This window comes from Homo sapiens, chromosome 11 (assembly GCF_000001405.40).
Source record: "Homo sapiens chromosome 11, GRCh38.p14 Primary Assembly".
NCBI lineage: Eukaryota > Metazoa > Chordata > Mammalia > Primates > Hominidae > Homo > Homo sapiens.
This window is the reverse complement of record NC_000011.10, coordinates 5,712,520-5,728,856: the sequence shown is the minus strand read 5'-3', so window position 1 is coordinate 5,728,856 and position 16,337 is coordinate 5,712,520. Positions and strand designations below refer to the sequence as shown.

At 39.4% G+C, this 16,337-nt stretch overlaps 1 protein-coding gene and 2 pseudogenes across 3 annotated transcripts in view; all 3 read right to left on the bottom strand.

Moving 5' to 3' along the window:
* The window catches only part of OR52N4 (olfactory receptor family 52 subfamily N member 4), a 29,487-nt gene extending 27,102 nt beyond the window's left edge, over nucleotides 1-2,385 (bottom strand). For both annotated transcript variants that reach the window (XM_017017711.3, XM_017017713.3), the window contains exon 1: nucleotides 2,294-2,385. The gene's annotated coding sequence lies outside the window, so the exon portion shown is untranslated. The remainder of the gene's footprint in view (nucleotides 1-2,293) is intronic.
* On the bottom strand, nucleotides 1,393-2,355 carry OR52P1 (olfactory receptor family 52 subfamily P member 1 (gene/pseudogene); annotated as a pseudogene). Its single transcript, NR_172915.1, has one exon. The product of NR_172915.1 is annotated as an olfactory receptor family 52 subfamily P member 1 (gene/pseudogene) (transcript).
* Nucleotides 8,591-9,567, bottom strand: OR52U1P (olfactory receptor family 52 subfamily U member 1 pseudogene; annotated as a pseudogene).

Here is a 16,337-nt window from a genome sequence, read left to right as displayed (position 1 = left end):
CCATATACTAGTACTCTCCCTATAAAAAGTGATTATTTTTTCTCTGAAAAATGGACAGTGCTCAGCCTACTTCACTGAGTTTCACTATTTGTGCACTGTTTATCCCAACATATTTGAAGTGTCCCAATAAAACACTTATATTCCTGACAGAGACAGAGCTTTGAAGAGCTGGGCATTGGCTTTCTACCTCAGGACTGATACTTTCCCAGGACAGGAGTGTCTGTGAACTTCCACAAGGGAGTTTTGTGTTCCCTCCACCTAACAGGGTAGGATGGCATATAAGCGGATGACAAGCAAAAAATGTGTACTATTGGCGAACTCAAAATTGAAAATGCTAATTTGTTAAGAGAATGTGTTTGATAAATTGTCTGAAGCTATTTGGTGAGGAGTGGACAGAAAGCTCAGTATGTACAGTAACTGGTTTCCAATCTTAGTTTCATGGATATAGTTAGGAACTTTCCATCACCACATGGAGTTACTAGAATCAAGCTTAATCTTCTTTTCATTATAAATAAATAGAAGAATTAATAAATACAGACTAATTTCATAATTAAGAATTCCCATTCTGAGTGGTTTGGGTAAGTGGCCATTTCTTATAGGTTCAGGAGATAAGTCAATGACTTCTGAAAGGTCCTCCCATTGTATGTATGTACAAGAATAATTGGAAACTGCTTGTGAGGGATGATATCCAAGGTCATTCAGACTTAGGTTAGTTCCTGAGAGGCTGGAGACAGGAGTGTACCTGTGAGATAAATAGAAAATGTCTAGAAATGAAGAGTTATTCCTAACCTCTCTTGTGCCCTCATTCATAGAAGTCCTAAAGGATTCTAGTTTTCACAGCTTTGTTCTGCCACTAAGTAACATTGTGGATGCTGGTGGATCTTTTTCTCCTCTTGGTTTGAAGCTCTAATGGAGAAATACAGGGTTTATGGAAAAGCATGATAAATTTTTTGCGGCTTTAACTACTTTAACTGTGGCTATATTGTCCTATCTTCTGATTCTTGCAGCTGGTAAGATAGCTGGTATATCCTAAGGTATGAAATTAGAAATCCATGCCTGGAATATTGGAAGGGTGCCAGGAAATGAGAAGAGATCTTATGGCTATGCAGGGACTCTTCTAAACTGCAGCAGGGTAGAAACCCTCCAGAACACAGTGGGTTGTTTTCAATATCTGCACGTTACCCAGGTTGCAAGAATCTTCCCATGTTTACACTTCTCTGAAAGGAAAGAAAGAATGCCCTTCTCTGTGATTTATCATTCTTGGAAATGGTCTAGAAAGTTCTGCAGAAGACATTATCCCCCTCTTAAAAGCTCTTTCTGGTCTCACATACTGAGGATTATCTTGAAAAGGTTTTTTTTTTATTTTGGATTAAGTCCCTCTATACTCCAGGGTCACTCAGATGCCTTGATGCCCATTTCCTGCCCACTTTGAAACACCCTGACAACTCTTTTACGGATCTGTTTGGTCTTAACTCCATATACCACAGGATTAAGAGCAGGTGGCAAAAGCAGATAAACATTGGCCAAAAGAATGTGAATATGGACTGGAACGTGATGGCCAAAGCGGTGTGTAAAAAAGGAGAAGAGGGCTGGTGTATAAGAGATGAGGATGACACAGACATGGGAACCACAGGTCCCTAGGGCCTTGGACCGAGCTTCATGGGATGAGAGGCGAAGGACAGCTTGTGCAATTAGGGCATAGGAGAGACCAATGCAAAACAAGTCAACCCCAGTGACCAACAGTGCAGCTGTCAGCCCATACACACGGTTAGGCCTGGTGTCTCCACAGGCCAGCTTCACCACAGCCATGTACAGTACGTGTGTAGGATCACATGGCTTTGGCAGAAGTTCAAACGCCCAATAAAGAAGGGACATGGGAGCATGAGCAGGGAGCCTCGCACTACAGCTGCCACCCCTATGTGGGCAATGATGGTGTCAGTGAGGATTGTGGCATAGCGGAGTGGGTGGCAGATGGCCACGTAGCGATCAAAGGCCATGGCCAGTAGCACAGTGGACTCCATCATGCAGAAGGCATGAATGAAGAACATCTGTGCCAGGCAGGCAGAGGCAGATATATGTCCGGCTCCACACCAGAAGATAGCCAGTAGCTTGGGAACTGTGGAGACAGAGGCAGCCAAGTCGATGGTTGAGAGCATGCACAGAAAAAGGTACACAGGCTTGTGCAAGACTGGTTCAGTGGCAACAACAACCAGAATAGTTATATTGCCCACAATTGTGGCTGTGCCTAAGCCACACACAGGGAGTGAGAGCCACAAATGAAATTGTTCCAGACCTGGGATGCCCAGGAGGAAGAAGACAAGAAGGGTCAACATCAGTGTGATGAGGAGATTCCATGTTGTGGCCAAGAGTGCTGGACATTCTCTGTGGTCAGAAACCTCCACATAGTATCACATTATCTGGAGGAACAAGATAGAACAGAGATAGGAATGAGAGAATAGTAACACTTACTGGCTATATCATGTTTAGAAAGCTTCATCATCCATAAAATAGCAATAATAATCATATCTATTCCCTATAGAGAAGAGAATTATATGGGTTAATATGTCTAAAGATTTCTAAAGAGCTTTGAATAATACCTGATATATAATGCTTATTAAATAAAATAAATGAACGTGAGAAAAGGCTCAAATAAGCCTTTAGATAAACTAGAATTGTCTCCTAGCTAAGGCTATACACATATACCTGAATACATACATACACACAAAGAAACACACACACATACATACACACTGTCTTTTATGGAGTATAAGAAGAAATTAGGCATGACTATCAGTTTGGTGACACAAACTACAAACATAGTTCACTGGGTAATCTTGGACTTTTTTTTTCTTGTCCTTTAAGTTGGAATAGATTCTAATTTGGGACCCTGTACTTAGTAATTATTTTTGAACTTAATATTACTCTAGTCGTTTCCACTCTTTTTACTAAGCTATAGATATATTTTCACATATATCCGCTCAATCTTCATCTGAAATTTCATAAGATGCTTCAGCTATCCTTTCCCCAAAATGTTGAAGGTAACCCTTTTGGACTTCATTCTATTTATGAAACTGAAAATTCCAAGCTTTTTCAGCCCACATCTTGGTCAATCCTTTATTCACATTCCATCTGCTGTACCTGGTAATTTCTAAGAAAGGGCATAGTCAAATCCTTCTCAATGTTACCATTCCACAGTGGCAAGAAGCGATTTTACAAGAGTACTTTGACTTTACCTGGACAGTGATGACTAATGTGCCTGATGTCAGAATACTAGGGGCAAAAAAAGCTCAAGGAAATCTAAGGTTCTGCTGATTCCCTCTGCCTAGTTTCATGCTGTTCATCTTTATAGCGTCTGTCCATCTCACTAGGCACACAAATTCCCCCTTCCATGCTTCATGAGAAATTACTGCTTGTTAGTAATTTCAGGAATATTATAGTGAATGCCATAAACTTTCTTCACAATGCCTCGCATGTCTTTCATCTGGTTAACATATCACTTGCTTCTTCCTTTCCAGGTAGTTCCCCACTGTGTTCCCCTTTCCAACTACTCAGCTTAACGCCAAACTATAATTTCTGTTTCAGGATGCCTGCTAACTAAAATTCCAAATTAGACTCTACAGAGGTGTTACTCGGGGAAATTTCCTTTCCTGGATATTCTCCATGCTTTCAAGCAAATCTTTAAATCTTTATTTTAAATCTTATTCTCCATGCTTTCAAGCAAACTTTCCATAACCAGTTTGCACAGAAAAACTTCTCTTGAGGGCTAAGAAATGCCTTTTCCAGAGTCTTTTCCTAGCCAAACTCACAGGATTCCAGGAGAGCAGAAAAGAGAAGGCACCACAGTGTAGAAGCATCCTCAGAAGATTGCAAGAACATTACAAGTCTCTGCTCACCCTCAACTATCTGAAATACATTTCACAGCCCCCTGGGAGTGTACTGGCTTGCACTGAGTTTAAGGCTAGAGCTGCCTAGGGAGCCTCTGTGTTCCCTAGGAAATTGGGCATTCACGCCCTACTCTTCTGAATGCAGTCCAGATCAGAATGTGAAGGTGAAGCCAGAGGCTTTTGTTAAAGATTCAGGGAAGACATATTTGTAGTCTGTTCCCTTGGAGTTCTTTTCCTGTTGTTTTGGTTTGGTTTTAACTCCCCACATATCAGTACTGGCACCATTTCCATAAGGGCAGCTAACATTTTAGAGTCATTGAGGATACAAATACTGTGGTTACTTGAAGGCAGTTCTACCACCCAAAGGATTCCAGGACATGCTTTCTTTCCCCTCCACTCTTTTCTGTGATTATCTCTGGCGCATTCTGCTATGTTTACTTTTTCCTAAGACTCTAATACTGTAGAGAATTTACTACACATGTTCCCAGACTTGCTGACTGGCTTTGTAAAATGCTCTGCTGATTTTTTTATATTGCCTGTGAATGATGTAGCAAGATGGTAATGAAACTCAATAGGAAATTGTACCCATACATGATATCTAGGAGATGTGACTTATTAAAGACAATTTTTCACCATATAAAGTAATTATCTTACGAACTGAGCACACCAGAGAAGACATGCATTAAGCATTACCAAACCTATATCTCCTGGTGGCCTTTGCTGAAAACCTGTCCACTGTACTTATTTCAGTAAACTATATTGTCAAAGAGCTCATTTGCATTAAACCTAAAACCTAATTTTTCTATGGACTAACTTACTCTTGGTACCAATACTCTAATACTCAAATATTTATTTGGTATAGCCCTACCACTACTGTAATTTACTCCACCATGCATCCCTGACCTTCTTCAAGTTATGAATGAGTGTCTTAAACCTCTCAGAAAAGTAGCTCCTGCCATGATCTGGATTCCACATTATGCAGGGAGAGTTTGGAGAATTGTCAATGTAGAACTGTAGTCTTTTTCCACAGTTTATGGCAGTTGGACTCCTTATCATCTTTACTTAAGTCGGTCTCCTTATTCTCTTTCCAAAAGCTCCCCTGGTTATTTTCTCCTTCAGCCACACCCTATCTAAAGAGATCTATCCTTACCATGAACAGTGCCCACACCTGGACTGGATCTGAATTCTGGTGATCATACTCTATCTTAGCTCCTGAGAGGCTCTCTAAGCCAGTGGTTTGAAAATGTTCTTGTACTTCTAAACTACTTACCGCTCCTGTTAAGCAGATTGCTAGTCCACATCCCCAGAGTTTCTAATTCAGTGAGTTTGGAGCACGACCTCAAAATTTCCTTTACTAACAAATTTCCAATTAAAGGGAATGCTGTTGGTCAAGAGATCATACTTTAAAGAAACACCACCCCCAAAAAAAATTTTTTTTAAGTTTTTTGATTGAGTTTTTCTCCCCAAACTGCTATCTGGTCTGCACTCTTCATGAGTTCTACTGGACAATTTGGCTACCACAAATATCCTTAATAAGTCATGTTAAAAATCTAGAGCAGAATAGGCTTGCAGCAACTTTCCTTTCCTAGAATCTTGACCTGAAAAATTTTACCTTTCTAGAGCTAAAGATGCCTCCAAAAGCCTTCAACCCACTGGGAATTTTTTTGTTCATCCCACAAAACAAGTCTACCTCTCAGCAACTTCTGGGAAAATTTGTGAATAATGCATTCTATGGAGAATGTAATAGCCCTGTGGAGTGTCAACTTGCACAGGCAAAACTATATTCCCTGGAATTCACTTTCTATTATCTTTTCAGATAAGTGGACTACTGGAAATAATCTCTTGTGAGACTTAAGATGGAAGGGAAATAACAGCCATTGCATTGCACACACACCACTCTCAGTTATTCAAACACGAATACAGGTGTTGCTGCAAAGTTGTTGCGGAGATATACCAGAATACCCTAATCAGTTGGCTTTAAGTTAGGTGAATTATCTGGGGTGGGCCTGACTTAATCGGTTAAAAGACCTTAAAAGGGGCTTAGGGCTTCCTTGGAAAAAGAAAGACTCATACCTCTAGAAACCAGCTTCATCCCATGCCTGGGCAGATTCCAGCATGCTCGTGATTTTTACTTTCTCTGACTGTCCACTCTGTGAACTTTGGACTTGCCTAGCCAGCCTCCACAGTTATGTAAGCCAATCCCTTGAATGTGTATGTGTATGTATATATCTCTCCTAATGGTTTTGTGTTTGTGATTGAATCTTGACTAATAAAGAAACCAATGTGTTTTCTCCATTTATTTTACTATGTCATTATTGTATTCTGCAAGGAATTTGGGGTGTTAGCAATAAGCACTAGAAATGGAAATAAGACACAAATCAGACACTGCAAAAATGGAAGTATAATATGATGTTACTACAGAAGCCCAGTGAAAATCTGTATGTAATCTTAGACTGACTATATTACTTTTTAAGAAAATACGAGACACAAGTAGTATGAGATATTGCTGAACTAAAAAATTAGAAATGTGTAATAAATGGTAAAAATGTTAGAAGCATTTCTAAATGCTTCTAAAGCAAGAATAAAAAGGAGTACGCAATCCCCCTGCTCCTTCCATATTGAGTATTGTACCAAAGGTCACAGCCATGCAATAAGAAGAAAAGATAATTAAAAAATAGGAAGCATGAATGGTATTACAATTTGCATAGAAAGTATAAGAGAATCTACAGAGAATTTGTTAGTCTATAAAGATTTCAACAAGATTGATAGATACAAGTTCAAAATAAAGAGATAAGCAAAAATTATAAAAAATTATGGAATTTTTTATGAGTATAAAATGATGAGTTCATGCCCTTTGTAGGGACATGGATGAAGCTGGAAATCATCTTTCTCGGTAAACTATTGCAAGGACAAAAAACCAAACACCGCATGTTCTCACTCATAGGTGGGAATTGAACAATGAGAACACATGGACACAGGAAGGGGAACATCACACTCTGGGGACTGTTGTGGGGTGGGGGGAAGGGGGGAGGGATAGCATTAGGAGATATACCTAATGCTAAATGACGAGTTGATGGGTGCAGCACACCAACATGGCACATGTATACATATGTAACTAACCTGCACATTGTGCACATGTACCCTAAAACTTAAAGTATAATAATAATAAAATAAAAAAAAATAAAAATAAAAATAAAAAATTGTTAAGCACAACATTTTGCTGACGACTTTTTTTTCTTTGTAGGTTTGTAGTGGCTTAAATATGTGCTTAGTACTTATTTCAGACAAGCAGTACTCTGTTCTTCAGCCATTAATGCTCCTGCAAATTTTCCTTGATCTCTGGTCTTCCATTTATAGAAAAGGCACTTCCTGGTTAGTTCTCTCTCTTTTTTTTTTCTCCTGAAGGTTGGACTGTTTGTTTCAAGCTCTGAAATATCCCACCTTTCTGAGCCTATGTTATTAAATTTTTTGTTTACTTCAAGCCTTAATTATTAGTATAACTAGAACAACACTCTGGAAAAGTTGCATTTATTTTCCTGACATTTTAAGAGTCTCATTTAAATAGTGGTCATGTGGCTTTTAAAGTAGGTGTCTTTTTCACTGAATTCTGCCTTTACATATTAGCTATACAATATGATGAAAAATCCTAAAATATTTCAGGCTACAAACTTCATGAGTCTTAAAATATTTGCCACTATATTCCAAATCAATGTCTGGAAGTGATAAACAATATCTCCTGAACTTAATGTATTCACATATCTTGGCACACGATCTGAACTCTACACACCACTCCAAGTGCTTGTTCATGATTTCTTCCTTGATTTCCAGAGAAATGGCCTGGCAGAATTCTGTAACCAAGACTTCCAATATAACACTGACTTTTATAACTATGACCCTTCACAGAACATTCTCAGAATTTTCTCTTTGCTAGAGATTCTTGTCATATGCTGGAATTAGTTGAGACAAGCAGAACAGTTGACTCTAGGAATTTTTATAAATATAAAATTTGTTAGAATGCATATCCACCTTCTAAGAGTAAGAGTTTCCCATTTTCTCCTTTTCCTTTGAAATTTCTCTGGGAATTTCAGATTATGTTTTCTGTACATATTCCCTAGGCTTATAAGGAAGGAACCAGTTCTGTTGCTCAAGTGTAAGTCTTCTGCAGTAAGGATAACATAGTGACTAAATTCAATCTTGAACATTCATTGTCCTTTTTGACTCCTCCTAAGCAATCTTCTCCATTTTACCTTCCCCTTGAACACACAAATACACACACACACACCTACACACACAGCTTAGCCTTATCTTGGCAAAGTAAGTAGCATTCTACAACTCATTGATTTGATGCTGGGCAAGTCATTGGGTGCCCATGTGTTCTCTCCATATGGAAACATTCTACCTCATCTTATGTGTGTTCAGCATGTGTTGTTCAAAATGCTTTTACAGACATTATAACATGTAATTTGTCCAACCCCTCTGTCAAGTATAGAAAGCAGATGTCATTATTTTCATTTCACAGTGGGGATAATTTCCTTGCTTTGGAATTACTGAGATCAAGAAGGTCTCCTGTCCCTTAGCTTCTCTGACCAAGGATAAACATCTTGGCAGCTAAATCTGCCAACATAACATATTTCTACCACTAGCTGATTCCCCCAGGAATTGCATCTACTTAACATTCCTTCCTCATACTCACAGCTGCTGGATTACCAGACAAGTTTCTGACCATGGTCAGTGGTTGTGGGTTCTTCTTTCCAGCAACCCTATTTGGTCACTTTGTCCCAGAACTCCTTAGTTTTCACTCCATAAATTATAGGACTGAGCATTGGAGGTACAAGGAAGTAAAGGTTGCCAAGAATGATGTGGACATGGGGTGGAATGCCTTGGCCAAAGCGGTGAGCGAGAAAAGAGAAAAGTGAGGGAGTATAAGAAATAAGCATGACACAGATGTGTGTGGTGCAGGTGTTGACTGCTTTGTGGTGGGCTTCCTTAGAAGAGAGATGCATTATAGCCTGGATGATTAGCACATAAGATGAAGCAATAGCTGAGAGATCCAGCCAGCAACCAACAAGGCCACCACCAGGCCATATATCCTGTTGACTGTAGTATCTACACAAACCATCTTCACCACAGCCATGTGCTCACAGGAGGTGGTGGGGATGACACGATTGGCATGATAGGGCATTTGCTGAAGGAGGATGGGCATGGGGAGAATAAAGAGGATAGCTCTCACCAAACTCACTAAGCCAATGAGTCCAGTGCAACTATTGGAAAGGATGGTGGCATAGCGCAAGGGCTTGCAGATGGCCACATAGTGGTCAAAGGCCATGGTCATCAGGACAGCTGACTGCATGGCAGAGATGGAGTGGATGAAGAACAGCTGAACCAGGCATCCTTCATAGCTGATCTCACTCTGGCCAAACCAGAAAATGCACAGCACCTTGGGAATGGTGGTTGTAGACATGCCCAGGTCTGTGAGGGCCAACAGACAGAGGAGCAGGAACATGGGTTTGTGCAGGGAGCGCTCTGTGGAGATGGTGAGGAGGATGGTGCAGTTCCCAAGCACCATAACGAAATACATGGAGGAGAAGGGGATAGATATCCATCTGTGTTTGTCCTCCATGCCAGGAATTCCTTGGAGAATGAAGAAAGAAGGGTGGCCCTGTGAGGCATTGCAAGCAGTCATGGTGGCACCCTGCCGAAGTACTTGTGGAGAACAACAAAGAGGCTACATGAGCTTCAATTTAAAAAAAGAGCTTCAACATGGAAAACAAAGATCGAAATGTTATACACACAAATGATTCTGAAATCATGACGCTATGTATCATAGGGTATAGTTGTAATAGTACAGTAGCAATAATGAAGTATAACTTCATTCATATCCAAGAGGATATATTTTATGCTAAATGTTTTTATTAAGGACAAAATGATTCATTATTAATAAAATATTAAATAAATTTTAATATATTAAGAAATAAACATGTATCAACTTAAAGAACAGAACTTGAAGTATGTACAGCAAAAATGCATGGCATACAAAGAGGAGCTGACAAAATGCAATATACTCCTTTCGGAAACCAAAAGATGAAATGTATTCAACACAACAGATTTTTTTTTAATTAAGATGACTTAAAAGCTTATAGTAGAATTATGCATCCAAAAATTAAAGAATACACATTTTCAGCAGATACAGGATATGAGGGAGTGGGAACCTTATTGATGAGAATGGTGCAATGATGATGAAGAATGAAGTGGGCAATGGGGTGCTGGACAGCTGAGGCTCACCAGAATATGAACATAAAGCCCACCCTCATCAAGAACACTTACCTGAAAGAGAGGCAGTGAGAGGATAGGCAGCTGGTCCCAGACACATTCTGAGAATGTGTATGTGTGAGTGTGTACATAGGTATGTAGGTATATCTTAAACACCCATATGACTCTTGGAGAGCACACCCGTGGCCTTGCATCTCTCCATACTTCACTTCTGGGCACCCAGAATCCACGGTGTGGTCTTTTAAGTAACCTAAGTAAAGGCCCTCAGGGTGCCCAGCATTAGCTCTTTGCTTACTTCTGCCAACCCCAACCTTCCACCTCCCAAAAGACAAGGCACAACTATTATTATGTGTAAAACTGACCCTGGAGGTTGCCTGAGCTCCCAAGAGATGAGGATAATTAGTCTTAGGAATTCAGGAAATGTTCCAGACTTTGCCAATCTTGGAGGAGTTTGAAGAGAGAGAGGGTGAAGATAAAACTGAATCAATGGATGGATGGATAAATAAGCAAACTGTGGAGTATATGTAGAATGCGAATATTGTTCAGGCTTAAAAAAGGAGGATATCCTGCCATTTGACGTAACATAAATGGACCCGGAGGAGATGATACTGAATTAAATAAGCCCATCACAGAGAGACAAATACCACATGACCTCACTTACATGTGAAATTTGGAAAAACGGGGGGTCAAACATATAGAGAATAAAACGATTACCAGGGTCGGGGTCACAGAGAGGAAATAGAGATATTAGTCAAAAGATACAAAATAGCAAACATGCAGAATGAACAAGTCAAAACACCTAATGTACAACATGGGCACTATAGTTAATAACAGTATATTGTATCAGGATTTTTGTTGAATGAGTAGATTGTAGCTGCTTTCGCTACATGAGGAAAAATGGATAACTATGTGAGATGATGAATATGTTAATTTGTTCCACTACAGTGGAACATATATATACTACAGATATAGATATGTTATAACATCGTGTTGTATACCTTAAATATACACAATAAAATTTATTTTTAAAACAAAGTTGAATCTGATAACTAGATTGGGGACTAGCAGTTTTGGCATTCTTTTTTTTTTCTGTAAAAAGAAAACAATCCAATTTTTATTTTTTTTTATTATTATTATACTTTAAATTTTAGGGTACATGTGCACAATGTGCAGGTTAGTTACATATGTATACATGTGCCATGCTGGTGTGCTGCACCCACTAACTCGTCATTTAGCATTAGGTATATCACCTAATGCTATCCCTCCCCCCTCCCCCCACCCCACAACAGTCCCCAGAGTGTGATGTTCCCCTTCCTGTGTCCATGTGTTTTCGTTGTTCAATTCCCACCTATGAGTGAGAATATGCGGTGTTTGGTTTTTTGTCCTTGCGATAGTTTACTGAGAATGATGATTTCCAATTTCATCCATGTCCCTACAAAGGACATGAACTCATCATTTTTTATGGCTGCATAGTATTCCATGGTGTAGATGTGCCACATTTGCTTAATCCAGTCTATCATTGTTGGACATTTGGCTTGGTTCCAAGTCTTTGCTGTTGTGAATAGTGCCGCAATAAACATATGTGTGCATGTGTCTTTATAGCAGCATGATTTATAGTCATTTGGGTATATACCCAGTAATGGGATGGCTGGGTCAAATGGTATTTCTAGTTCTAGATCCCTGAGGAATCGCCACACTGACTTCCACAATGGTTGAACTAGTTTACAGTTCAGTACCGTAAACTACTGTTTCAGTACTGTTTACTACTGTAAACAGTACTGTAAACTACTGTTTCAGTACTGTTTACCAACAGTGTAAAAGTGTTCCTGTTTCTCCACATCCTCTCCAGCACCTGTTGTTTCCTGACTTTTTAATGATTGCCATTCTCACTGGTGTGAGATGGTATCTCATTGTGGTTTTGATTTGCATTTCTCTGATGGCCAGTGATGGTGAGCAATTTTTTCATGTGTTTTTTGGCTGCATAAATGTCTTCTTTTGAGAAGTGCCTGTTCATGTCCTTCGCCCACTTTTTAATGGGGTTGTTTGTTTTTTTCTTGTAAATTTGTTTGAGTTCATTGTAGATTCTGGATATTAGCCCTTTGTCAGATGAGTAGGTTGCAAAAATTTTCTCCCATTTTGTAGGTTGCCTGTTCACTCTGATGGTAGTTTCTTTTGCTGTGCAGAAGCTCTTTAGTTTAATTAGATCCCATTTGTCAATTTTGGCTTTTGTTGCCATTGCTTTTGGTGTTTTAGACATGAAGTCCTTGCCCATGCCTATGTCCTGAATGGTACTGCCTAGGTTTTCTTCTAGGGTTTTTATGGTTTTAGGTCTAACGTTTAAGTCTTTAATCCATCTTGAATTGATTTTTGTATAAGGTGTAAGGAAGGGATCCAGTTTCAGCTTTCTACATCTGTCTAGCCAGTTTTCCCAGCACCATTTATTAAATAGGGAATCCTTTCCCCATTGCTTGTTTTTCTCAGGTTTGTCAAAGATCAGATAGTTGCAGATATGTGGCGTTATTTCTGAGGGCTCTGTTCTGTTCCATTGGTCTATATCTCTGTTTTGGTACCAGTACCATGCTGTTTTGGTTACTGTAGCCTTGTAGTATAGTTTGAAATCAGGTAGCGTGATGCTTCCAGCTTTGTTCTTTTGGCTTAGGATTGAGACTTGGCGATGTGGGCTCTTTTTTGGTTCCATATGAACTTTAAAGTAGTTTTTTCCAATTCTGTGAAGAAAGTCATTGGTAGCTTGATGGGGATGGCATTGAATCTATAAATTACTTTGGGCAGTATGGCCATTGTCACAATATTGATTCTTCCTACCCATGAGCATGGAATGTTCTTCCATTTGTTTGTGTCCTCTTTTATTTCATTGGGCAGTGTTTTGTAGTTCTCCTTGAAGAGGTCCTTCATGTCCCTTGTAAGTTGGATTCCTAAGTATTTTATTCTCTTTGAAGCAATTGTGAATGGGAGTTCACTCATGATTTGGCTCTCTGTTTGTCTGTCGTTGGTGTATAAGAATGCTTGTGATTTTTGTACATTGATTTTGTATCCTGAGACTTTACTGAAGTTGCTTATCAGCTTAAGGAGATTTTGGGCTGAGACAGTGGGGTTTTCTAGATATACAATCATGTCATCTGCAAACAGGGACAATTTGACTTCCTCTTTTCCTAATTGAATACCCTTTATTTCCTTTTCCTGCCTAATTGCCCTGACCAGAACTTCCAACAATATGTTGAATAGGAGTGGTGAGAGAGGGCATCCCTGTCTTGTGCCAGTTTTCAAAGGGAATGCTTCCAGTTTTTACCCATTCAGTATGATATTGGCTGTGGGTTTGTCATACATAGCTCTTATTATTTTGAGATACGACCCATCAATACCTAATTTATTGAGAGTTTTTAGCATGAAGGTTGTTGAATTTTGTCAAAGGCCTTTTCTGCATCTATTGAGATAATCATGTGGTTTTTGTCTTTGGTTCTGTTTATATGCTGGATTACATTTACTGATTTGCATATATTGAACCAGCCTTGCATCCCAGGGATGAAGCCCACTCAGTCATGGTGTATAAGCTTTTTGATGTGCTGCTGGATTCGGTTTGCCAGTATTTTATTGAGGATATTTACATCAATGTTCATCAAGGATATTGGTCTAAAATTCTCTTTTTTGGTTGTGTCTCTGCCCGGCTTTGGTATCAGCATGATGCTGGCCTCATAAAATGAGTTAGGGAGGTTTCCCTCTTTTTCTATTGATTGGAATAGTTTCAGAAGGAATGGTACCAGTTCCTCCTTGTACCTCTGGTAGAATTCAGCTGTGAATCCTTCTGGTCCTGGACTCTTTTTGGTTGGTAAGCTATTGATTATTGCCACAATTTCAGCTCCTGTTATTGGTCTATTCAGAGATTCAACTTCTTCCTGGTTTAGTCTTGGGAGGGTGTATGTGTCGAGGAATTTATCCATTTCTTCTAGATTTTCTAGTTTATTTCCATAGAGGTGTTTGTAGTATTCTCTGATGGTAGACTACTGGGTACATAACGAAATGAAGACAGAAATAAAGATGTTTTTTGAAACCAACGAGAACAAAGACACAACATACCAGAATCTCTGGGACACATTCAAGGCAGTGTGTAGAGGGAAATTTATAGCACTAAATGCCCACAAGAGAAAGCAGGAAAGATCCAAAATTGACACCCTAACATCACAATTAAAAGCACTAGAAAAGCAAGAGCAAACACATTCAAAAGCTAGCAGAAGGCAAGAAATAACTAAAATCAGAGCAGAACTGAAGGAAATAGAGACCAAAAAAACCCTTCAAAAAATTAATGAATCCAGGAGCTGGTTTTTTGAAAGGATCAACAAAATTGATAGACCGTTAGCAAGACTAGTAAAGAAAAAAAGACAGAAGAATCAAATAGACGCAATAAAAAATGATAAAAGGGATATCACCACCGATCCCACAGAAATGCAAACTACCATCAGTTTTGTTTATTTCTGCAAGCTGAGAAATCTGGGCAAAACAAGGCCCTCTAACTCACCCCCAGACCCACTGAGAGAGGCAGGGGAAAAGCACCCTAGATGAGTCACAGAGGCTGTCTATAAAGATTTAGACATGTTTTCTGGGGTGCAGGAAGAGATTGGAGAGCTGAGTGGAGCAGTGGCCCAGGTAGATGGCTGTTTTATGGCCAGAACTTCTGGGAACCGTGCAGGGATGGCTGATTTGAGCTCAGCTTAGGCTTCCCACAGGCTTTCTGGCACTGCCCAGAAGGATGTGGTTGCTGCTGCTGCTTGTGTGCTGTTATCAAGGCAGCAGCCGCTGTCAGGGCGCTCTAAAGAATGAGGTCTGTAATAAGTCACCCTATACTGTGCTAGTCTTGCTTACTAACTATAGCAAGATTACCTCTGGAGGGCATTTACGTAAGTCTCTAAGGTCTCTTTAGGGCTGCTGGGCAAAGTGATCTCGAGGAGCTCTACACCTCTTTTCTTTCCTATGAAATTGCAACAACTTGCTGCACTACAGGGTGTTTATCAGGGCCAGAGACCTGAGTAGAGTTATGTGGCTTGCAGAAGCCCACTGCCCATTCCCATTGACAGAGGGCCCTAAGCAGTGGCTAGAGAACTGTTTCACTAGCTTTCTCCAAACCCCTCTGTAACGAACAGACACCCACTAATTTCCACCTCTTTATACTCATGCCTTTATAAAATTTCTTCCTTTTTAGAGTAGGCAGAATTTCTGAATTCCTTATAAGCAACATTATGTGGCAAAAGTGATGGGATGTTACTACCATGGTTGTCTTATATTATGTAAGGCCTTCTCACTAAAATAGTCTTCTTCTCCTGTTGGCCTTGAAGAGGCAACAACCATAGTATGAACTACCTATTGAGAGGTTCATGTAGCAAGAAACTTCAGGCAGTCTTCAGGATCAGAGGGCCTAGGTCCTACACGAGCAAGGAACTGAATTCTACTAATAACCTAAGTTAGCTTGGAAATAGGTCCTTCCCTACTCTGACCTCCACATGAAAACTCATCCCAGCTGGCACTGTGAGTTCATTATGGAGAGATCGTGAAGGAGAAAACCCATCTAAGCTGGGTCCAGACTTCTGATCCACAGATACTGTAACATAACAAATGTTATCTTACATTTATCTTGCTACTAAATTTGCAATAGCCTATTTTAATGCAGCAAAGAAAGCTAATGCAACTTTTACCTGCATGGGTAAAATACTGTACATTAATATAATCTTTATTAATAATTCAATTGAAAAATGTTAAGGACTTTGATTCTTTACTCAGATTATTCTATTTCTTAAAACAGTTAATTATTTCAAAACTAAATTAGTATGCATTCTTAAAATTATTTTTCTCAAGTCAGAGAAAAGAATCCAAGAAAAAAAATAACATATACCACTCTTGTGTCAGTGCATATGTTCCATGAAATAGCAGAAGTTATTACAAATATACTATTATTTAATTCTCATAATATCACTGCCAGGTAGGTCTTATAAGGGCCACTAGGTGGCTATGTCATCATTATGTAAAATTCCACCTGTTTTCAGAATGCAAGTTTGTAACCATTCAATTATAAAGTTCATCCTCTACACCAAGAGGAGGGAACATTTTCGTCATGTCATCTGCAATAGCCTACTTGTCATAAAGTGCTTCCATGTCCTTCTTCCTCATTTATGGCTA